Below are 26,474 nucleotides of genomic sequence, written 5' to 3'. Positions count from 1 at the left end.
TATGGGATCCCACAGGTTTTGTGTACATTGTGACCAAGAAGGCCTTAATGTTACCCTCAGCTTGACTAAACATTAAATAGGTTTCTTCTTGATATTAGGGGCCCTGACATCCTAATTTACCTTAGACAATTTTTTTTTAATTTATTTATTTTTGAGATGGAGTCTTGCTCTGTCACCCAGACTGGAGTTCAGTGGCGCGGTCTTGGCTAACTGCCACCTCCACCTCCAGAGTAGCTGGGATTACAGGCTCCTGCCACCACACCCACCTAATTTTGTATTTTTAGTAGAAATGGGGTTTCATCATGTTGGCCAGGCTGGACTAGAACTCCTGACCTCAAGTGATCTACCTGCCACGGCCTCCCAAAGTGCTGGGATTACAGGAGTGAGCCACTGCTCCCAGCCTACCTCAGACAATTTTTTATTGTAAATAATTTCCTGACTTTTTGAGATGTAAATCTTCTCCCAACCTCTTTCCAGTTTTACAATCTAGGCATTTCTTTTTCAAGGACCTGGGAACTATTCCTTTGAAATGTAATCATCAAAGAAGATAGGACTCCTATCTCCCAGTCTAGATGGGAGGCTAGGAACCTAACTTCCATAAGCACCAATTAGCAAACACAGTGGACCACATCAGCCTATAGTTCTCTGGTTCTTTTTCATTAGCTCATCCCAGTGCTTAAAAACTCTCCTGCCTTTTGTTTCATTGGGATTGAGTTCAATCTGTCTTCCCTACTGCAGTCGTCTTGAATAAAGTCTTCTTGTTTAACTCTGTCCAGTGCAATTTTTCTTTTACATTTATAGCCTCTTCAAATCAAAGACCATCAGCACTTTTCTATACTTAATCTTGATTCTTTAGGCTCAATTGTAAATTAAAGTAAGAGAGTAGATTTAACATTAAGGTTTAGGCTGGGGGCGGTAGCTTGCACCTGTAATACCACCAGTTTGGGAGGCAAAGGCAGGCAGATCGTTGGAGCTCAGGAGTTTGAGGCCAGCCTGGGCAACATAGCAAGACCCTGTCTCTATAAAAAATTCAAAAATTAGCTGGGTGTGGTGGCATGTGCCTATAGTCCCACCTACTTGAGAAGCTGAAGTGGGAGAATCACTTGAGCCTGGAAGGTGGAGGTTGCAGTCAGCTGAGATCGTGCCATTGCACTCCAGCCTGGGTGACAGAGCAAGACCCTGTCTCAAAAAAAAAAAAAAAAAAAGAAGAAGAAAGAAATTAAGGTTTAGACATTTTCCATTTATCATGGCTTAAATAGGCATCTGAAAATCATGTTAACTCCACAGTAGCTAGAAGTTACCTGTAGTCCATCATTTATCTATAAATATTAAACTGAGATTTGCTAAATTTAAATTGGAGGAAAACTAGAATAGGAGGTCATAATCTTCATGTACTGTCTACCTTCTTATTCTTTGTAGGAGAAATGCCAAGTACTCAACGCATTTTATTAATATGCATTGAAAATATTAGAAATATAAGGCTAAATAATGAAATATGCATGTCAAAACATTAACCCTTTTTAATTTTCATTGACTAGCATTTCATATGTTAAATAAAGCTAATCAGGTGCTCTAAAATTAAAGAACTCTTATTTATTACAATTAACCCAACATTAAGAAATTTTAACCTAATATACTTCTTGTCCTTTTGTAAATTATAGTAACTAGCAGAACAGATTAAGCTTCTCTACGTATTCTTACACTAATTTAACTAATATTTCCAGTTCTCAATTATTACATTGGTGGAAGAAGAAAATGTGAAATATTCGTATATATCCTGTCCCCAGAATTTCTTTCTACTATAACCTCTGTAACATAACACCCCTGCACCCCCCCACAAAAAAGAAAAAAAAATGCAACAGTTGATAGGATAGTTTGAACATTGTTATAATTTCCAAGAAAATTTAATATTAGATTCAGCACTTTGATCAAGGTCTCTTTACTAAATAAAAAAAGTATTTTTAATCTGTTCATTTGTTTATTCTTGTTTTCAGTCACTAAATATTTAGATTTAGCTAACATTTATTATATATTAGGTACTAAGTGACATGTCAGAGTCATACTTTCACTTCTGGCTCTGATGCAGCAGCTCATGGCAGACCAGTACTTCAGTCAATACATTTAGAAAAGCTGGATAAAATGTTTAAAAATCAAATTGAAAAGACCATATTGCTGCTAAGGCAAATGAGGAAGCAGAAAATCAAAAACAGAGGATAAGAAGACATTTTCCCCTCAGGGAATCTGCCAGGTTATGGTCTTGGGAAAGTGAGAATCTGAAAAACAGGACAAAGGACCATAACCAAAACAGATAAGCTGAGCAGGTTTTGGTAATTGCATGGGGCTGGCGAATAATTTTTGTTTAGGACACAAGAAGTAAGACTTGGGGACAATGGTCTCAGAGTTTTCAGAGATGGGGAAAAGGGAACACTCTGGGTATTTTCTTTTGAGGAATATCCTAATACTTTAAGGTGAACATGGAAAGAGGCTAAGAAGCAAAACAGAAAGCTGCTGCTAGTGAGAGAAGAGTTTCAGCATACACAAGTATCTGATCAAACAATAACGGTAGTTAGGTCTCCAGCTAGAGACCCTGCAGAGCTATGCCTTAGGAGTGGAGGCAAATTAAAAAGCATCTGAGCCTTATGACCCCAATAAACCAACCGTAAATCTGATTGGTCTTGATTGCATTAAGGTAATCTGTTTCATACTCCAGCTGCCTCCTAGAGGAAGATGAATCATTGGTGGTAGAAGAGAATATGGCCCAGAGATAACAATTATATATGTATAATTTCTGTCATTCAGGCGATAATTACCAGGTACAGTAAGACACATGAAAGGGGAGGGCAACAAATAACAGAAACTCCTATGGACAAAATTGGGACCTCCTGCCAACCCCCTCACCGGATTTATATGTTGATGCTCTAACCCCTAATTTGACTACTTTTTGGAGACAGGGCCTATAAGTTTTAAAGGTGGAGCCTTGATCCTATTAGATTAAGTGCCCTTCTAAGAAGAGATATCAGAGAGCTTTTTTCTCTCTCCCCCACACGTACACAAAGTTGAGGTCATATGAGTATACAGTGAAAATATGGCCATCTACAAACCAGGAAAAGAGCCCTGGAACCAAATCAGTAAGTACCTTGATCTTGGACTTCCCAGTTTCCAAATCTGTGAGTAACCAATTTCTGTTGTCCAAGCCAACGGTCCCCAACTTTTTTGGCACCAGGGACCAGCTTTGCGGAAGACAATTTTTTTCATGGAGGGGACTGTGGAGGACGGTTTTTGGATGCGACTATTCCACCTCAGATCATCAGGCATTAGATTCTCATAAGGAAAATGCAGTCTAGATCCCTTGCAAGTACAGTTAGCAATAGGGTTTGTGCTCCTATGAGAATCTAATGCCACCGCTGATCTGATAGGAGGCGGAGCTCAGGCTGTAATGCTTGCTTGGCCACTCACCTCCTGCTACGTGGCCTGATTCCTAACAGGCCACTGACCCGTACCGATCCATTGCCAGGGTTTGAGGATCCCTGGTTTAAGTCACCCAGTCTGCGACATCTTGTTGTAGAAGGCTGAGCAGACTATTACAGAAACATATCCACGTTGGCCCATGGGAAAACTTTCCCTTTTGCCTTCTGAAGGTTTGCTGAAAATCAAACTGAAAAAAAGGAAGATTGATAGGAGAAAAGACATACAAAGTTACTAATGTACCTGGGGGAGAATCACAGAGTGATTACTATGCAATGGGATACGAATGGTTACATGCTCTCCTTCTTAGGGAAAAGTGAGATGGGGAAGTGTGGATGATTTTCGCGGGGTAGTAAATGATTGTTAGGGAAATTCAATGAGCTTGAAGAACATACGATGGCTGGAGGGAAGTCTTTTGGGCTCACAGAAGAGACAGTGGTTAGTGACAAAAGTGTGCCCAGGTATGTGGCCAGACTTCAGTCTCTCATCCTGTGATAAGAGTTCAGTTAATGAAAATTTAGGAAAGTGACCAGAGGTCATTGTTTTCTTCTGTGACAGGTCCAGACTTTAGGTAGTTAAGGAGACTCTGGAGAACAACTTCATTCTATGCTTTGGGAGAGACAGAAGCACCATATTTTGGGGTGTTGGCCATATCCACATATAATGCAGCAACATTGTTGATGCACAGCTTAGTATTTGACAACAGAGTACAGGGGATCTTTGCTCACATTTTTAGAGTTCTTTGTGTGGCAGTCTCCTCTCTGGTATTACATTCCACAGTTTCCAGCTGCTTCAGCCTAACCAAATTCTGCTCTCAGGCTCTAACTGAATGTAACCGCCTTATTCTCCTTCAGTTTCCCCTCCTTGCACTGGAGACTGGAAATTGCCACCATGAAGAAAGCTGAAAATTCAATAGGGACCATCTAATTTGTTTCCCGTTTATGAGGAATCACAGCCCAACACTACTTGTCTCAATAGCTAAAAACAGTCATTTCATATATTTTGACCAGCTTTTAATTTGTTTAGTGTGGATATATAACTTCTGTACCAGATACTTATGATTAGAAGGTTAATCCTTCCTATTCATGTTAAAAACTGTTATTAAACCAGAAATCGTAGTCTAAAAAAATCCGATAAAGCATATATGCAAAAATCCTCCAGCAAAAGTCACATTAGCAATAAAATATTGAACGACAGAGGTTGGGAAAGAGAGCAGGACAAGGATTCCAGCTATAATTGCTTCAATTTATTATCATTTGGAGTTTTTTGCAAGTTCAATAAGGCAAGTAAAAGAAATAAAAACAATTCTGGCTGGGCGCAGTGGCTCACGCCTGTAATCCCAGCACTTTGGGAGGCTGAGGCGGGCGGATCATGAGGTCAGGAGATCAAGACCATCCTGGCTAAGACGGTGAAACCCCGTCTCCACTAAAAATACAAAAGACTAGCCGGGCGTGGTGGCGGGCGCCTGTAGTCCCAGCTACTCGGGAGGCTGAGGCAGGAGAATGGCGTGAACCCGGGAGGCGGAGCTTGCAGTGAGCCGAGATCGCGCCACTGCACTCCAGCCTGGGCAACAGAGCGAGACTCCGTCTCAAAAAAAAACAAAACAAAAACAAAAACAAAACAACAATTCTAAGGAAAAGAGGTGCAAAACCTCAACGTAGAAAACTACAAGATAATTATGACAAAAAATGTAAGAAGACCTAAACAAATGAAGGGATATACTATTTCCATAAATTAGAAAACTCAGAATTTTAACAATGCCAGATGTTCCTAAGTTAATCTGTAATAAATAGTTCCATGTACTTATAACAGTTATATTGTTTTTAATCTATTGACAAGAATGGTAGAGAAAATTAAGAAATAAAAAAATGGAAGATTTACCCTATCAGACTTTCAGATTTATTATAAAGCTATAGTTATTGAAACAGTGTGATGTTTGGCATAAAAACAGGCAAAGAAAATGATTAAACAGAATGGAGAGCTCAGAAATAGATCCACATATATACAGTCATCTGTGATGCAAGTGGAGAATTTTTTTCTTTTTACTTTGCAAAGCAGAGTATCTGGACTTACACGCACACTATTACCAGAAATTCTACACTCAGATATATACTCAGTGGAAATGTATCTAATGTGCTCCCAAAACTCTTGTATAAGAATGTTTATAGCAACATTATTTATAATAGTGAAAAACTGGAAGCAAACCAAATGTTTACCAATAAACATAAAAGTTATGTTTGAATAAAATAAATGTATGGATAAAAATTATGGTACATTCACACAAAATACTATATTCATGAAATGGAACAAACTACATTCATATGAACAACATGAATATAGCTCATAAACACAAGAAGCCAAACACAAAAGAATCCATAACAAATGATAACACTTACATATAGTTCAAGAACAGGCAATACTAATATATGATGATGGAAATCAGGGGAGTGATTACCTTTCACAGGGGATGGTCACTGGGAAGAAACATTAGAAAGGATTCTGGATATACTGGTTTTGTTCTATATCTTCATTTAAGTGGGAGTTATATAACAGTATTCATGTGCCTAAATATTCATCAGATTCTATATTTGTGATTTTTATAGTTTCTGTATATATATTACAATACATATATTGCATTACCTCTTTGTGTTTTACACCGCAACAAAATTCAGAAAAGCACAGACAGTATCCCAAATATAGTAGAGTAGAAAAGCCTTGTACTTAGAAACCTATAATATTCAGCAGCATTTATAAGTTATTAGGAAATCACAAATAAGTTACTGTTTCATAGTTCAGAGTAGGAGAATATTGTTTCCACTTTGGTGGAGGTAGATTAAATTGAGGAGTAAAGAAAGGTTTTCTGGGGGAGATAAAATGTGAGATGGAACTGAAAAGAGAAACAAGTGATTGCTAGGCACAAATGAGGAGTGGTCAGTCATTTCAGCAAAATAATTAGTATCCCCTCCCCAAAGTTGGTAAGCTGTGTAAGAAAAAGTGACAGCCATTTGTTTGGATTATAATCAATAATGTGAAATTAGATTGAAAAGAAATATTAAGGGTAGATTTTGAATGATTTCAAATAATGGAGTAACAAATTTGGATTTCTGTAGACTCTGGGGAGCCATTTAACATACATAAACAGGAAAAAAGGCATGATCAAAATTATGATCTGGAAAAATAAATTGACCTCAAGATTACAGGAAAGAGAAGGAAATTTATGTAGCAAGAAAACATAAATGAGTATTATAAAAATTTTATTCATTTTCATTTGATAAATAGTTATTAAAGGTCTACTGACTAGCTCTGGCAAAAATTAGTGAGCAACAAATTTAGATCACTCGAGTGGGAGGGTGACAAGTAACATACATGACATCTTGATTAAAGAACAATTTGAAAAATTATTTATTGAGTACTACTAATGAAAAGGTATGAAAGTGCATAAGTTAAGAACGCATTCAGCTGCCATAAACTGAAACCCCAACTAATACTTTTCTAAATATATGGTTGTTCATCTCTTTTACATGGTAAGAAGACCATAGCAGATATTGCTAGTGCTGGTTCAGCTTCTTAAAAATGACATAACATCAGTATTTTGTTTTGAGCTTTATTGAGGTATAATTGACAAATAAAAATTGCATATATTCAATGTGTACAACATGATTTTTTCATATACATATTCATTGTGAAATGTTATCCATAATCAAGCTAATTAACATATCTGTCACATCACATAATTTTCTTTTATGCATATGTGATAAGAGTACTTAAAATCTACTCTCTTGACAAATTTCAAGTATACAATATATTATTATTAACTATCGTCACCTTACTGTACATTAGATTCCCAGAACTTAACTCCTCTTATAACTGGAAGTTTATACCCTTTGACATCTCCCCATTTCCTCTACCCACTGACATCTGGGATCTTGAACTTTTCTCCAACATTCTGAGGCTGTTGGCTTCCATCTTGGGTAATGTCTCACAGTCACAAAATATATGTCATATCTTTGACGTGGCCTCTTAATCAATGAAGGTAGGGGAAAAGGCAGTGCCTGACAATTCTGTGAACTTTTTATAAGAAAGAAAAAGTTTTTTAGAAATCCTCTCATCAGATTTTCTCTGTCATCATTGGCAAAAACTGGACCACATGTCCAGCCCCAGCTGAAATGAAGGCTATGAATATAGAGAATGAGGACACAATATACATGATACACTGCCCTGGCCTCTGTGCATTGCCACTCACAAAACCTACTTCACCAAATCATGATCAAGTCTCTTCGTTAACAAAGAGAAAGTGGAAAACTGATGTTGGTCCTAATAGAGTTTTTCACAGGTCACACAAAAATATACACGCATATATAATGGGTGGTGCTTGCTCTTAAAGGGCATAAGTAATACACTCTGTGAATGTTGTAGGTGGCCACTACACTTAATATGGAAATAACTGCCCTTCATATGGAATTAAGAAATAAACTACACTTAATATGGAATGGAGAATTTCTACCTAATATGTGGAATGTATTTTCAACGTGTTTGCACATCTTTAATAAAGTTTGCTATGCTTTGCTTCTTCCAAAAACTGTCTTTGCAAGTTTGAAACCACATACAGTAAAGAAGGTAACCTAAAAATGGACAATATAAAATCACAACAAAAAATAGGAGTAGAGAAATAAAGGTGATCCGATGAGATAATTATGTACAACGAGTTCTGCACTTTATGTGACTTAATAAGAAATAGGACTAGTAAAGGATTTCTCGTCATTTGACTTTTTTAAAGTAAACGGTTGTATTTGGAGAAATAAAGTCATCATCATTGCCAATAAGAAGGAATTATATGAACTTTTCAGTCTTTTTCAGAGTAAATATTAGTATCAGGAAGATAAAAGATAAATTATGTCCTTAAAAAGAATAGCTTCCGATAGGCTAAGTTTTTAGGTGTAATGAATTTCCCATTATTTTATTCAGGCTTCATTACCTATAATTGATTATTTTACAATTTTTCAAACGGTCTTAAAGCTTTAATATGGCTATGTCTTTAATTGTAATTTTCCCAAGCTTTCTTTAGTATATTTTTCTTCGAGATGGGGATTATGTCTGCCTGGTTTCCCGTCATATTTCTATTATACATGGAAGTCAATCAATAAATATTTATTAAATTAGTCTGTGGGATAAAAATAAGAACTATTTTGCTTTTTTTCTCAACATCGATTATAAAATACATGTTAATTAATAGTATTAATTAATACTGATTTTTAAAAATACACAAATATTCTATGTATGAAAATTTTTGCTATTAACCCTCTCTAAGAGTTGCAGTCAGAAAATGCCATCTTAAATGGTTTGTGTTTCCTTTTCCTGTGATATTCCAAAGTACCCAAAATAGTATCTCCCGCATTTTGCATCATTCAGTGCATAATTGATGTTCTCATGAACAAAGAGATTCCTAAGAACAGTTGAGGCAATATTACTCTAGTACCTTATTTCTGGTTATCTAAATGTCAGGATATAATTTATTGAACCTAGAGAATTAAAAGATTTACATGCCTATTAAGCTATCTTTCTTAAGTATTAGATGTTCCAAGCAGTCTTTGAGAAATGCTGGGTCACAGCTTATTCATAATTCTATTCTGAAATTAGTGACTGAGTGCTGTATTATTGATTAACAAGGGATTTATATGTTTTAGAAACAAGCTGAACAAGAAGTTGCATTGGGCATTTTACTGTCAAAGTTGACAGGCTGATTTTCTTTCTTGCCCAGACCGAGGGCAGTCACCCTTTTTCACAGAGGTAGCCTCCAAGGATATTTGCAACCAATCCACAGTTTTCTCCACAACAGAGTTTTCAATCTGTTAAAGTTTTTGAAGAGTAAACAAATTGAAACCCCAGATTTCTGTATAGCACTTTATGAAAAATATCATTTTGGCATGAAAAACTTTAATGGTAGGTGGTTACCACTCAACTTCCTAGACCATGGGTGGGTCCAAGCCTGGTGCCTGAGTAATGTAACTGCATCATAAGTTTTTTACACTTTTTTTAGTGTCTTGTATTGTACTCAAAAATGTAATGTATTCCACCACATTAAAAACAAAATGGAGGCCAGGCGCGGTGGCTCACACCTGCAATCCCAGCACTTTGGGAAGTCGAGGCGGGCAGATCAGCTGAGGTCAGGAGTTTGAGACTAGCCTGGCCAATGTGGCGAAACCCTGTCTCTACTTGGGAGGCTGAGGCAGGAGAATCGCTAGAACCTGGGAGGCAGAGGTTGCAGTGAGCTGAGATCACACCACTGCACTCCAGCCTGGGCAACAGAGTGAGACTCCATCTCAATAAATAAATAATAAAATAAAAAGTAGTGAGAAGGGAGATGTGGCTAATGAAAGAGAATTAATAGTATAACTGTAAAATATTGAGCCCAGGCATAAGTGGAATGATGCTTTTGACAGAAATAGTAACCTTTAATCCATTTCAGGATTACCTACCTGTATTGAAGTAAGAAATTTTTGTTTTGAAATTGCTTGAAACATGAATTAAACAGGCATCTATTTAAGAAGTGGAAGAGAGTGTGCACCAGATCCTAAGTAAAGCATTTTGTCAAAACCAGTCATCAAGGTGGAGTTCTGGGAAGGTGAGAGGAGTGGTCCAGGTCAGTTCACCTAATCTTGGGCTGGCTCAGCTTGGTCCTACTTAACTCTTCGTCTACCCCCATTTCCTGTCTTCATTTGCCTTCATATTTTATTTCTAATCTTGAACTTATATCCCTGTACCTGACAGCCAATTTAACATTTCTGGCCTCGTAGACCTTGTCTCAGCACTATGCTCCCCTTATAAGTGTCTGATCCAGCCCATCTAGGGAGAAGTTAGACAGGTAATATCTATCTTTTACTTTTGAGAAAGAAGAAAGTGTGGTATTTAATAATACCTTTACAGGCAGGCCATATTTATTCCAAAATAGCACTTTCTTAGGGCTATAAATGCAATTAATCATGCTCTACTTTTATGGTATGCAAATGCGTACTACCTAAATGGAAGAGATTACTTAGAACACTAGCTATGAATCACTGAGCCCCTGTGACACTCTTCAAAATGCACCAAGGGAACGGTCAGTGCTTTTGAAATAATACAAATTATATTTGCTAGTATTCGTTAAATACTTATCATGTATTAGGCATGTGTTAAGCTCTTGTAGGAAAAGTTAGAGTAGTAAAAATATCTGGAAAATTGAATTTCTGATTTGTCCATAGTCTCAAAGTAAATATAGGGTTAGAAATTGAATAATTATTACTTCAATTTACACATTTCAACCGTACAAACATTTGTAAAATTGGGATTTTTTAAACATTGTATTTTGACATTGTATTTTGAAACATTGTATTTTCTAGAAAGCTCAGATAAAATTTTTAGGAGGAAAAGGATTTTCACTGAATTCCCTGATTAGAAACTGACACTTAGGGATGCTCAGAGTGCCTCTTTCAATTAAAAAAGATTATATAAATTACTCTAAATAGTGAGGGATTGATGTGAATGCCATTTAGACCCAATGCCTTTTCACGGGTTGCTCCTCTGACATAGAATGTCCTTTCTCTATTCCTCATCTAGAAACATCTGCTTTTTTTGAGACCTGGCAGCTAAGATGACAGTACAGTAATCCACAAAGTACTCTCTAGCATTTATTGGCAAAATGGGTGGCTCTCAAACTTAAGTTTATCAGATTTATCCAGAGGGTTTATTTAAAAAGATGGCTGGCCCCACTCCTGAAACTTCTGATTCAGTAGGCCTGAGGTAGAGTCACAAATTTGCATTATTAACAAATTTCCAGGTGGTAATGCTGCTGATCCAGAGGCCACACTTTGAAAAAATACTGAACCATGGTACAACAACGACATAAAAAGTCAGAGTGTCCTTTTTCTGCCAGTCCTATCGATTAGACTCCTTCAGTTAAATAACACACAGTTATGTGTGTGTTAAATTGCTTGTTTGCATTATTAAGATAATTTATATTCCCATCACTAATCTATGCTCTGAAACTAGACGCATATATTCAACTACCTATTCTGTAGCATCATTCATATGTCTAACAAGCACCTAAAGCTTAAGACATCCAAAATTGAACTCTTAATTTCTGTCACCTCTCTGGTTCTAGACTGTTTACTGCTCTAGTCCTATAGAGCAAATCTTAAAAGCAAGGTCCAAATGGATGAGGTATTTTACAAGTAACTTAACTGTGTCCCAGAGAATACAAAAACCAAAACAAAAAAATCAATGATGTTATAAAAACACAAAAATATCTAGGCACAACAAAATAAAATTTATAATGCTTAATATCCAAGCAAAAATTACCAGGCTTACAAATAAGCAGGAGAATACAGAATATAATTATGAAAATAATCAATTGAAACCATCTCAGAGAGGACACATGCCTTAGAATTAATAGTCAAGACTTAAACATAGCAATTATAATTGTATTACATACATTCAAAAAGTTAGAGACATGGAAGATATTTAAAACCCCATTCAAACTTCTAGGAATACAACTACAACATGTGAGACATACACTGGTTGTAATTAACAGATTTCACATGGTAGAAGAAAAGAGTAGTTAACTTGAAGATATAGCAGCAGCAATAGTTGGAAATGAAATTCAGAGAGAAAATAGACTAAAAAAAATTAACAGAGCATCAGCGAGCTGCAGGACCGCATCGCAGTCTGAATATGCACGTAATGAGAATCCCTCAATGAGAGAGAGGATGGGCACAAAATAATAGCTAAGGTGGTAGATAGAATTCTAATATGGCCCCAACATTTTTCAGCCCCTGGTGTATTCACCCTATATAATCCCCAGGACAGTGAATACAGTAGATTTTACTTTCTTGATTCGGTTATAAGGCACAACTATCCTTTAAATGGGAAGATTATTTGTGTGGGCCTCGCCTAATCACATAAAGTGTTGGAAAGAAGAGAGCTTTCTCTAGCCAGTTGCAGAAGAGAAAGTCAGAGATCTGATGCATAAGAAAGCTTCAGCATATCAATGCTGGCCCAAGGATAGAAGGGGCCAAGTGTCATGGAAAGCAGGCAGCATCGAGGAAAAGCACCTCCTGGCTTATAGCCAGCAGGAAATGGGGAAAGCAGTCCTAAAATCATAAGGAACTAAATTCTGCCAACAAAAAGGATTTTAGAAGATTTTGTTCCCAGAGCCTCCAAAAGAAAGAGGAAAAAAAAGAGAACCCAGTCAGACACAACAGTTTAAGCAGAAGACCTCTCTATGCCTTATTGGATTTCTGACCTATAGAGCTGTGAACAAATAAAGGGTTGCCACTTTAAATGCCAAGTTTGTGGTATCTTCTTTAAACTACATACAAAAGAAGTCAAGCAAAGAAATAATGTCCAACATATTTTCAAATTTCAGAGAAGACTATAAACTCAAAGAACAAAGAGATTAAGCAAAACCCAAGTATTGGAAACGTGAAGAAAACTGTAACAGTGCATATTGTAAGTTGCTCAAAACTTGTGCTAATGCAAAAAAAGAAAAATCTTAAATGCAGACACAGAAGACCTACTCACCTACATTAGGGAGTCAAATACAAAATCTTCATGAATCTTTCAAATAAAATATGAGGTTGCAAAGAAATACCAGGATTGATTTAGACTATTTTCTTCACCCATCAGACTCTACCAATTCTATCTTTAGGGGATACTGTAAAAGAAGACTTTAGTAATTCCCTCATTTGAATATCTTATAGATCTTTTGAAGGGAAATATAATTATCATTTTGTAAAAAATTTAGGAACTGAGGTCTATTTGAACGTACTTAGTTAAGTTTAAAAATAAACAGTACCAAGAGGGGCAATTATACAATATTCCATGTGAAAGAAAATGCTTTCTTTTCTTCTTTTTCTTCTTTCTCTTACCTTTTCTAAATGTGGAATCATGTTTCCTCTGAATTCCAAAAAAAAAAAATTGGTTTTGGATAAAGAAATAAAGGATACAATTGATTTTATATATATATATTCATATTTAATGAAATATATATTTCAAATTACTGATACACTAAGCTGACTTGGAACCTGCTGGGACTTAACTGACATAGGTAAGTGGATAAAGAGAGAATGTTAATATTCTCTCATTAACATTAGGCAAAACTAGGGAGAGAACAGGTTGACTACCAAGGTGAGGTTATCAGTGGTATCATGTCTTCCTGAGGAACATCATAAGCACAAATTTGAAATGGACTGATGTTTCTGTTGTATTGACTTCAAGTATTGGTTGAAAATAAGAAATAATTTCCAGCCTTTTTGAGGGTAAGACATTACTAAGAGCATCAGCTAATCACATTGGAGTTGAGAGCACAGCCCCAGTGGGTGATAAGAAGCTGAAGCTGAAACTCACAGTGAAGGTTGGGAATGTACAGGCAAGCACTGTGGCTTCAGCATACTCTGAGTTCTCATCATCTCACCCATGCTCTAGGTATATTGCAACAAAACAAGTTGTCAACTGCATTACTGTGGGGTTAAAACTTTCTACTTTGATCTGCATTCACTGAAGAACTTAGGCGGAGCCTGGCTCTGTGAATAAAGTCGTCATTACAAGAAATGTAATGACCACCATCAGCTGGCAATTTGGAGACAAATAATATAGGAGAAAAGAAGAGATTCTTGCTTTTACTAATCAATTGTTCTTTAGTTCCCAGATATTCCTTTCTCGGATAAAAAGGGGAAAGTTTAGAAATGGGAAACATTGAGAAAAGTCACAGACTAAATATTTTTAGAATATCCATTTATTTCTTATTATCACAATTCAAGGAAATGATGTACCACTTTTTCACTTTTGAGAGAGAAACCGTTAATAAAATTGATAGTTAATGCTGAAGACTGTCATGAATTAGTCACTAGATAGAGGCATGTTTAAATTGCAAATTACTTTGAAAGTCATTAACCACCCCAAACTTAATAAAGTGAAATCTTCACACTATTAAAGAGAGTAACAGATGTTGTTTTTGATGTTTAATGAAAAATATTTATCTGCTGCTGTAATCCAGTCCCGTCTCCCTGACCCCCTTTTTTTTTTTCCTGCTCTCCAGTTAGGTTTGTTATGTTTCATTTGAAAGCTCTTTTGCAAGATGATGAGTGCACTAATTTTTACAATTGTGAAGGCTCAATCTTAGATAAATGTTATTTCTCAAGGAGTTCTGCATACTGCATATTTGAGAGCAAAAGTCAGTTTCTAGAAATCTGTGTGAGTAAAATGGAGAGAAGGCATTTTTTTTTGTCTCCAGCCAATATGGCAGATGAAGATATGTAACCACAGAAAAGCATTCTAATCGGTGCAGCTTCAAGCCTTGAAAGATACTGCATGGTAACTGTGCTTTCTCTTAGATGATCTTTTTTCTTCTTGGATTATTTAAGGGGCACTAATTTTTCGAAACCCTAGGCAACACGATCACAAGCAGTAAACAAAGTTTGTATCAAGAAAATAATGGTATTTCAATGTTAGGGAAAAACAATGTCATAGCCAGGAGGGAAGCAAGCAATCAGAACTTAAACTGCTGCAATCTGGAAGCTTCTCTGCAGGACCTGTTTACAGCTGGTTCACTGTTCTCCCAAGCAGTATAATGTGCCAAACAAGTGGCAGGTGGGAAGGTTATGTAAAAAACTGTCTGCATGACTTAGTTGACTGCTGAGGTACAAAAAGAAATTGTAGAGACATTGAGCCTTCTGAAATAAAAAATGAAAATTATGATAATCCCCTCAACCAAGAGACAGAACTGGTCTCTATCTAAACAGACCTAAAGAGAATAGTATTGTCTAGTGCAGATAGAGCCCCTTCTGATTAAAAATTTGTCACAGCTTCCTTAATTTTGTGTGATAGTATGAAGAATATATCCTTGATTTCACCTTCTAGACTTGCAACTTTCTCCTAATTCTTTGCGTTCCAGGTTCAAGGAAGAAAAACAGCAATCATGAAGAGAGAGAGAGAGCAGCATAACAGATCATTACATTTATAGTAATGATTTGATTCTTAGAGCTAGGCTTAGCCCGAGTTGTTTAGTGAATGCAAATCAAGGTAGAAAGTTTCAGCCCCAGCGTGAGTGGAGTTGATAATTTGTTTTGTTGCAATATAGTTACAGGATATATATATATATATATATATATATATATATATATATATATATACACACATACATACACACACACACACACACACATATACACATATATATACACATATATATACACACATATATACACACATATATACACACATATATATACACACATATATACACATATATACATATATACACACACATATATACATACATATATATATATGTGTATATATATATATATATATATATATACACATATATATATAGTAGTCTCCCTGGAACATTCACTCCGATAAGAAAGGAACCATTTTTTCCGTCTATTAGGCAGATCTTGCAGAATGAAATATTAAACAATTAAAGTTTGCTGTTATGTTATACTGTGATGAAGTACCGCAAATAATCTTATCCTTGACCATAGATTAAAAGATCATAGCCTTCTGAGGAACTGCAGAATGACCTCAAAAATTGTTTGGAATATAAAGATATTGCCGTCAAAAATGGCTGTAAGTATCATTCCATTGTACAAATATTTACAGACTATGGTACCTAATATAGGCCAGGAGCTATGCCAAGTACTTTAGATGGAAATACAAAGATGGCAAGCATAGCCCCTGACTTAAGGAAACTTCATGTTTAAGAGAAAGAGTAGGACAAGCACACAAACTGGAATAGGCACCAAAAAAAGTTCATTCAGGCCGGGTGTGGTGGCTCATGCCTGTAATCCCAGCACTTTGGGAGGCTGAGGCAGGCGGACCACAAGGTCAGGAGTTTGAGAGCAGCCTGGCCAACATGGTGAAACCCCACCTCTACTAAAAAAATACAAAAATTAGCCAGGCATGGTGGCGTGTGCCTGTAATCCTAGCTACTCAGGAGGCTGAGGCAGGAGAATTGCTTGAACCTGGGAGGCAGATGTTGCAGTGAGCTGAGATTGCAGCACTGCACTTCAGCCTGGGTGAAGGAGCAAGACTCTGTCTCAAAAAAAAAAAAAGTTCATTTAGAGATAATCAAAGATGTAAAGATGTTCAGATCAAGAGCTCTTAAGTTCAGAGAAATATTATATGGGCTTTGTGGCTTGAACTTGGTTTCTCCAGGGGAGAGAAAAGGTAGATCATCCAAGCTGGGGGAACAAAATGAACCAAAGCATCAAATTTGAAATATTAGGATATTTGGATTTGGCAAATTGTTCATTGACGTGTGGAGTATGCTGGTTGGGATGTCAAATGTGAGAGCTGTTGACAAGAAAATTGTCCTGCCATGTATTTCTTCGATATATTACATTCATGACCTGTGTGTTTATTTATTTTGAACTCTTTCAAATGAAAGATGACATATGAATGGTCATTCTCTGTAACTTGGTAAAATTTCCCCAAAGTGATAAAATCCCAGTAACCAGCATCTAGATCAAAGAATCATATTACCGTCATCCAGAGGCCCCCCAACCTCCATAGCCTCTTTTAGTCACACACACCCCATAAAAATCATTATCCATTTTTATATGTACCATTGTATCACAGTATAGTAGTTTTTTTGTTTGGAACTTAATATAAATAAAATATTAGATAAACTTGTGTTTGACTTCTTTTACTGAAGATCCTTATTTAGTGTAACTATAGCTTCTTCTTTTTATTGTTTATTAGTATTCAATTGTATAGAATTGTAAGAATGATCCATTGCTGATGTACATTTGGGTTTTTAATTTGTTTTAATCTTAACTTTTCAATCAAATAAATGTATTAAAAACAACTGAATTTCAAAATGGTTAAATGAATGCAGTGACTGATTAACTTAAATGTATACATAATCACCTACATACCATATTCAAGTATGAACAATAATCAGCAATTTTCCTTATTAGTGATGAGTCCTAACTCCAGTTTGAGGACTGGGAAGTAATTGGGTCACTTCTGTGTCCTGTTTCTCTTCTATGGTCACCTGACTAGCTCAGTTGGTAGAGCATGAGACTCATAACCCCTTCTGGTTTGCTTCGTACTCTAGTCTGTGTTGACCTCTTTGAGTTCTGTGCTGTTATTCCTGATTGGAAAGGTCCTCGGATGCCTTGTAAACATTGTATTCTTGTGTTAGAGGATGTTTTGCCTCAACTGCAAAACATCAGGTATTTCTACTATGTTGTGTAAGCAAACAAACAAACAACAACAACAACAAACTCCTTGCACACATTTTGTTTTCCAATTCCGGAATAACTCTGTTGAAAACTTACCTCGCTCGCTCTGATGAAAGAGGGTGTTATCTTTCTCTTGAGAAAGCTCTGTGTTTTGAGAAGGAACAGCTAACTTTCAGATTGCCATCTGGAAGGTTTCTCACTCAGGAAACTTATCCAAATTCCCCCTCTATTGTCCTCAAAAGGATCGTCCATCCATGGATCTGTGACTCTCACTGTGTCTTGCACTGTTAATGTTTGTCTGGGGGAAAGTAACATTTCTTAGGATCATAGGCAGTGCTTCCCACCTCAGTTACCAATCATGATCATTACCTCCCTCAATCCCTGATATCTGCTTTTATATACTTTTGAGGGGAATGGAAAGGAAAGACCAAGAAAATGCAGAAAGTGGAGGGTAGTGCTTTCACTGTGCATTGCATGTATCTTCAGAGATTCAATAAGGGGATGAAAGGCTGCTGGGCAAGCCACTCCATGGGAGCTCCAAACCCTACTTGTACTTGAAGAAAACGATTAATTTTTTAGTTTCAAATTTCACAGATTAAAAAAAGGAGGGCAGAGTGAGACTCTTCCCTTTTTATTCATTCTTGCTATTGTGCAACTATGAGTTTCTGAGAAGTTATAAGGTTGATTTCATATCGTCCATCCCAGTTACAATTCCACTGTGGGTAAACACACTTAATGGATTGTATGACTATTGTATAAAAAGATGTATTAATTGCTTGGGTGGGACTTGCAGTTGTTCTGGAACTTAAATGGCATGAATAATATTTCCAATATAATATATGACTGTATGTCCTCTGGGTGTAGGACAAACATCTTAAGGATAAATAGTGTTATCATTCTTAATACATAGCAGAAGTTTTAAACGGAATTTTACTGTAATAAACAGCTTATTACAGAAAAACACTTTCTCTGAATAAAATGTATCTTACTATAACACTCAGTATAACATCAGGGTTTTTTTTATTATTTCCAAATAACAGAGAAGAAGTTGGATTTAATCTAATAAGTAAGAATTACAACGCAGTTTCTGTAGTCAGTAGCTCAGTAATGGGCATTCAAATTCACATGAATTCATGTGAAATTGAATGCCCATTGCTGAGCTACTTACTTTAATTCTAAAAATGTTTATTGAGTGTTAAGTATATGAGGTGTCAGATCATGAAAATATAAAGCAAATTAAGTCAATTGTCCTATATTTCAAGGAATTTACGGTATAACCTAGTAGTCAGTGAAAAACATAAAATCATCATGGTGACATTTCATGATGGAGATACATAGCTTCCATGGGAAACCAGAGAGGAGGATTTTTGTTGGCTTGTTATATATATGTGTGTATGTGTGTATGTGTGTGTGTGTGTGTGTGTGTGTGTTTTTACAGATATATGCTTATAAAATCAAACTTTTGTGGCAAAAGCCTGAGATGTATGGATTTGGAAAACAGGGTTTTAGGAAGTAGAGATTGGAGGGGAGAGGCAGTCAAGAGATAAACTTGATCTTATTAATCTTCAGAGAAGTCCTAACTTTTAGACATTATTAACCATATTTCACAGAAGTCATGGTACTGATTCCTGGCCAAATCTGCTATATACAAAAACCTATTCAATCTTTTACTCTATACAACTGAGATATTAAATTGGAAGTTACTTATTTTAATAACATAATTTTTCTATATAATGCTTCACAATTCCAAAGCATCCTCACATAAATTGCCTTATTTTAAACTCATAACCACATTGTGAAGCAGAAGATAAGCATATTTATTCCCATTTACATATGAGGGAACAAAGGCTTAGTGTAATAAGAACTGGCCCAAGATTACCACAGATTTATGGAGTAAAATCTAAGTCATTTTAATTCCCAAGTTTGCATACTTTTGTTCTCTATTTCTTAGTATCACAGTTACTGTAATAAAATGGGCAGTCACAACTGTGTATTTATTCTTACATAGAATTTATGACATTTGCTTTTAAAAGAGTATAATTAATAAAATTTTTAAAACCAGGACTTGAACTGGGTGAATTCAGAGGATAGAGGACAAGCTGGCACACATACTGAAAAATGTAGAATGCAAGAAAAGCCCCAAGTGCTTCGAATGCATGGGGATAGCTTAAAAAATTGTCACACAGAGTTTAGCTTGTAAGTGGGAAAGCAACTTTTTCAAATGGCTTCATGAACCATCTCCTGTACATAAGCAGAACAGAATATACCAAATGTCTAAACACGCATGCCTGTTTGAGTCCTTTGATAACACTGTTACTAGTTGTTTCCTCTACAAGGTTAGGTTGGATTTGGCCAGTTAATTGAAACTGAAGAAAATAAAATGTAAACACATTACATGGAGCTCAAATTTGAAGGAGGGATGCTTTTAGGGAACATGCATTCAACTAGCCAATGTTAATATGCAGGACCACGTTACACACAGGAGAAATAATCCCACACAATTTTCAGTACTGTCAGCTGTAGCTAAGGAGTTATGGTGAATACTATAAAGTTGGGTCAGTCACCTATATATTGAGACTGACAGTTATCAGGGAGAGCTAATGAATTGATCCAAGTGATATTTTAAAACCACAGTTAGATTAGCTTAGATGAGGTTGTAATTCTCATTTTCATCATGAATTTTATTTTCCTTTGTCAAAGATGTAATAATACTGAATAAACTTTAAATGATTTAAAGCCCCATAATAATTTCACTGGTCATATCTCATTAATTACTTAACGTTGTAATGATGGCCTACCTCATAAATAGAAATACAAAGATAGGCCACAATGATAGAATATAGCCCTTGCTTTTTCCTGAGATACATTGGAAGAGATCACAATATTGAAGATATTTCAATACTTAACATGCAAAGAAAAGAAAAACTTGCAAAAATTAAATTCAGTCCTTTTTACATGATTAAAATAATGATAATTTTGCAAAGCATTGTAGAATATTTTTCTCTCAGGTCTACTTTTTTCTGGCATGTCTTTCAATTGTGCTAAAAGCAAATACAGTACATCCTATGTTTTATTATGTAGGGTATCATATTGTCTCTTTCTTAGCATTGCTGTAAATACATGAGGAGAAGGAAAATAAAAGTAGCAAATAGTGTGTATGTGTTTGAGTGTGTGTGTGTTTACCACAAAGTTAATATAAGTTTAAGTACTGTAACTACTACAGAACTCTAATTCTCAAACTGGATTTTATATCAGATTAGTCTTAGAAGTTGTCAAGATGTAGGTTTTGTGGCCCTACTTTTTTCCTACCAAATCATAACATCAGTGTTGGGGTACCCATAAACCTACATTTGTAATACTCTCCATGGTGATTCTGATGCACAGCTGGATTTGAGGACCACTGATAAGATATTCATATCTAATATTAAATATGTGTACATATTTGCTACTGAAAATACATGTGATGTTTCTTTGAAATTGTAAAATATCTAAAATAATGGTTTTATAAGTAACTCCCTGCCCAACATCACCATGGTAAATGCTACGAAGTATTAAATACCTAGCATAGTGCCTCTTAACAGCTTACTGTGTTGGCTTGGGGTCATGGGTGATAGTTAGCAAGAAGATTATCAAATGTGAACTGGATTAACAAATGCAAACTTGATGAACTCTTCTGTACTGAAGGAAAAGGGGCACAGTGACTTCAGGGGTAAAGAGTATATGTCATCAGCTCAGCAGTAGCCTAAAGAGCCCCTTCAGTGTTTTCCACGTCCCTTCATGTAATTATGGTAATTATCATTGATTATACTCAAAGTTTTTTGTAGGTAGTCTTTTAAACGTTTGCATAGATTATTTAACATAATTCTCACCAAAAATATTATATGTTATTAAATCCATGTTACAATCTAGAAAACTGAGGGTTTCACAGAGACCTATATTTTTTAACTACTAAGATAATACAGTAACAACAATATACAGTTACTACAGATAATACACTTACTACAAAAATACAGTAACTCTACAGGTAACAATGATAACAAAAGGTTGTCTTCAAAAATATAGATAACACAACTAACAGCAAAATAGCAGACTTACTTTCCTCATTGCCAGAGTACAAGGACTCCTTCCCCCATACTTCTTCCCATGGCTCTGAAGTGCTTGGTTCAATGAAGGTTAGCCTACTTTAGTTTGGGACCACATCAATCAGGTACTGCAGGGCCAGCAGGCAGTAGAGACCTTCTATTAAGTTTTCTTATGAGTCACTAGTGAAGCATAGGAATTCCCTGCCTCTGGCACTCTATAGGAAAAAAAAAAAAAAGGAATAAAAGAAAACAGGCAATTTGCCCCTGTCACATAGATTAATCAAGAAAGCCATAACCTTTGTATCTTTAGTTTGTCCCTGTTAAGGGGAAAGGGGCATTATGATAGATACAGACAGGAATCACTTCAATCATCTTTAAGTGTCTTAGGACATAAGGCAAGGGGCTTAACGCTTTCATTTAAAACATGTATTCTTTTTCTCTTGAAGTTTCTGTAATTATTACCTGTGCTCCTTCTATCATGCTGTATTGTGAAAACTTCAGAGAAAAGAAGCAAGTTCTGTAGATCAAAGAAAAAATTGACTGGAAGAAAAAAGGATTGTCTTTCTACTAAACACACACACATATTCTGTCGTTATGGCAACATAAGATCTAAGAATGGCACACCAAATAATATGGTACCAAGGCATATTATTATATTATCATCAAGTGTCACAATAAATGTGCTTCAGCTCCTCAATATAACATACAGTATTGTTTTCTGTTCTTCTCAGTACTTTCACTTGAGGTCAAAGCAACTTTTTTGAATGAAGACCAAATATCAACCATCGCCCTTCTTAGTGGATCTTTCTTGCACGAAGACATCCCACTAATTTCACTTAAAATATATGCAGTAGATTGAAAATTGGGCTATTTCTTCTGTTTCCTAAAGGAACAACTGTTTATCCTTCAAAACCCATTACACTATATCTATATAGCAATATGCTTAGCTGAGGAATTCGTTTGTGTGTGTGTGTGTGTATTTTATATATATATGTGTGTGTGTTTGTGTATGTATAAATAACTTTGACAAAAAATTGGCTATAAATATGTAGACAAAGTAAATCATACTGATTTAGATGAAACAGATTGGTTTAGTTTATCTTCCCACATGCTTTTAATCTTTAAAAATATATTTATGTAAGACAGCAGTGGTGGAAATTTTACCACTTTTTGGATGGTGCTGCAAATTTGTACAGTTGCTTTATTCTTCATATTTTCTCTGATATCCTGATATGCATATGTATGTTAAAGTTCCTTTATGGTATTGACTCACAACTATACCATGTGACTTTGCCAATGGAAAGACAAAAAAAAAGGGGAAGAATGGGTTGCAAGTCAGCAGCAATGTTCTGGAGAGATTGCAATAACAGTGAAAAGGCGAGATATCTAGGAGGTTTTAGAAATGATGGGAAAAGATCACACATTTTAAACAATCATGAAGTACTGAGAACTAACATGAGGAGGGGCTGAAATTGGCTTTAGGGACTGTTTCATCTTTCACATAGGAGAAGAAGAGGAATAAAAAGGAAAGGCTAGATTAAAGTAGAATGTGAGGTTTCAAAGATGTGTCCTTGGGTGTATGTCACCCCCATGCCCTACTGCCCTTCCAACCCTGATATTTCACTCTAATTCTGCACCTAGATGTTTTTATTTTTAAACCAAGAATTTGTCACCAAAATATAGAAAAATGCAGATGACCTCCAACTTACTATTATTTGGCTCACAATTTTTTTACTGCAATAGTGTGGAAGCAATACCCATTCATTAGAAGCCACACTTGGAGTACCCATACAACCATTCTGCTTTTCACTTTCAGCTCACCGTCCAATAAATTACAAGAGATATTCAACACTGTATTGTAAAATAGGCTCTGTGTTAGATTATTTTGCCCAACTGTGGGCTACAGTAACTGTTCTGATCACTTTTAAGGTAGGCTAGGCTAAGCTATGATGTTCAATAGGTTAGGGGCATTACACGCATTTTTAACTTAGGGTCTTTTCAAGTTATGATGTGTTTATCAGGATGCACCCTCATCATAAGTGAAGGAGCTTCTGTAGATTTCTGAATTGTACCAGTCCATTTCCAGACTCTTCTACATTTATCGCTAGGAGCTCATTTCAACAGAAAAATAAATCCTTAAAATTGCCATTCAGTTAGTGTCAGCTAATTCTGCTACTCTGGTCCCTGTTTATTTGAAAAATGTGCTATCCCACAACACAGTATATTTGTGACTGAACTAAATTAAGGGTGATAATACTGAACCTACTAATTTAAAATATATTCTGGGGCTCTTAGCTTAGTCAAACATATTTAATGTTTCTCTTCTCAGTATTATTCTCTCCAACTACCCATTTCAAGAAATAATTTAACACTGAGTGGAAAGCTGTACACTGATAAAAGAGGTCTATTGTCCCCAAAGCATTTACTATCAGTTTACTCAGACTATCTTAAAATGCCAAAGAAAATCAAATACCAACCCAGTAATTTAGCCATGTGCTAAATGTATTTTCTGATGAGATTGCTGCATATTACTGAAGTCCAAATTAGAAAGTCGGTGAAAATTGATTGGGAAATCTAAGGGCTGCATTAAAAAGACAAAGGCATTAACAGAAATAACATGGACTTCAGTGAATGTTTGAAACAACATTTCAGAATTTTATTTTTATTTAGTAGTACAGGTTGCTATGCAGCACCAAGTATGTTCAAGCTACCCATAGAAATCTGGCAGGGGGACATGAAACCATTTTTGAAAACACCCATAAACATCTTGACAACTGTAGTTTATCTATCACTCATAAATACTTTGATGCAGGAAAGTTCCCAGGCACCCAGCTAGAGAGCATGTTAAATTTTGAAGCATATTTATGAAATAGTTATGGGACTTTGGCTTAGCACCAGATGTCAAAATCTCCATCAACTTTTGAAAGATTTTTCTCTCCTATGGAAAGACAAAGGAGGAAAAAGCAACACTCTTCTCATTTTTCATTTTTAGGTAGTACTGGCACAGGTGTGCTGTTGTTCCCTGTGGTTTTACTGTTTAGCGATCACGAAGAACCTTAGATTTGAAAACACTCTCCCTCATTAATCATCAGTTCCTCACACTGTGATGTAGGCTCTACAATGAGTTCCTCCTAACAGGGCTGGAAAGGAAGGTGAGGAGAGACAGCACCACACACTCGCAAGCACAACTGTGCACAAGCACACACAGAATTGATTTTGTCGTTTCTTACATTCATTTATTGGCCTGCTCTATATGTTCAATAAGTGACTAAGTACCATCAGAATTGACACTAATGTGTAATTACATGTAATTGTAAAAGCGGGTGATTATATTTATGGGTAATGTTCTTAGTTTATTTAATTACTTGAATACCTATGACTTATAGTAGAATAAGAATTTTAAGAACATTTGTTTGCTTCTACAATAATTGCTTGGAAATATTAATCCTGTTGATGTTCAGATATCCCCCTACTGTCTTTTATATTCATCCACTTTCATTTTTCTTCTCATTCCGTTTTCTTTCTCTCTTAAATTGACTTACTGTATCCCGGGCCTTCTCACTTTCATTCTTCCTCTCTCAGTCTGTCTCCTCTGTGTGTTTCCCTTGCATTCCAATATTATCAGTCTTTTCTAACCATCTTTTCTACTGTCTGTACCGTTCGGTTACATTACCTCTTGCATTCCAATATTATCAGTTTTCTAACCATCTTTTCTACTGTCTGTACCGTTCGGTTACATTACCTCTTGCCTATCACTTTTTTATTGCCTTTATATTTATCTTTATCCTCTCATTTTTTTACTCAGTTATTTTTCTCCCTTCTATGATAAGTTTCTGTTTCTCCTATAATGGACATTGTTCCTTTCCTCATATTTGAATGTTTCTCTTTCTTTTTTTCCCCGTGATTAATATTTTCATCTCCCACATTTTTCTCAGTTGCTAATTTTGCTTTTACTTTCTTTGTTTTCTTGTTCATTTACCTTACCTTTATTGCTCTCTATTCTTATGAAAAAATATCCTCTTTATCATCATTTCCTGCTTTTTCATTCATTGGCTCTACACTATGGTCCCCTTCATAGATATTGCAGGTGGCACTACTGATCTCTCAGTCCTTAAAAGGTCATTTTCCTTAATCAAGTGTCCTAGGGTTGATTTTATATGTCATCATAAGTCCTGCCTTATTGGTCTGCTCTGTTTGTTGAATAAATTATTAACTATAGTGAGAATTAACACTAATAAGTAATTACCTGTAATTATAAAAGGGTGATAATCATTTTGAGAGTTCATATACTTGGTTTATTTGATTGCATAAATACCTATTAACTCCAGTAGAATAAAATCATTGATATTGATTTAAAGCTAATCAAAGGTATTGCCCTACCTTTGAGACTCTACATTAGATGGGAATGACTAAATACTTATATATTTTCTTATCTTCAAATAGAGGTTGATCAAATTCATGACAATTTTTTCTTTACCACACTGCCTTTATTTTGCCAACAAAAAAGTAACGTGCAATAATTCAGAAATTAACTTGGCATACAATAAATGCAGAAACACACACAGGTACACACATTTAAACATCTCTTTTACTTCATCTTTTGTTGACTATTTTCACTACATAATGAAGGGTCTCTGTTACGGGCTACCTGTGCTATTCATTAACTGATACTTTACCAAACCTATAAACTAACTTAGGAATAATT

The 26,474-nt window shown here is 35.7% G+C and overlaps 1 long non-coding RNA gene across 1 annotated transcript in view; it reads right to left on the bottom strand.

Moving 5' to 3' along the window:
* The window catches only part of LINC01241 (long intergenic non-protein coding RNA 1241), a 32,913-nt gene extending 10,569 nt beyond the window's left edge, over positions 1-22,344 (bottom strand). The window contains exons 1-5 of the long non-coding RNA NR_121604.1: positions 22,232-22,344; positions 21,783-21,984; positions 17,784-17,985; positions 4,194-4,366; positions 3,457-3,655 (exon numbers count right to left, since the gene is read on the bottom strand). This is a non-coding gene — a long non-coding RNA (long intergenic non-protein coding RNA 1241). The remainder of the gene's footprint in view (positions 1-3,456; positions 3,656-4,193; positions 4,367-17,783; positions 17,986-21,782; positions 21,985-22,231) is intronic.
* Positions 22,345-26,474: the final 4,130 nt, after the last annotated feature.

This window comes from Homo sapiens, chromosome 9, assembly GCF_000001405.40.
Source record: "Homo sapiens chromosome 9, GRCh38.p14 Primary Assembly".
Taxonomy (NCBI): Eukaryota; Metazoa; Chordata; class Mammalia; order Primates; family Hominidae; genus Homo; species Homo sapiens.
This window is presented reverse-complemented; position numbering and strand designations above follow the sequence as displayed.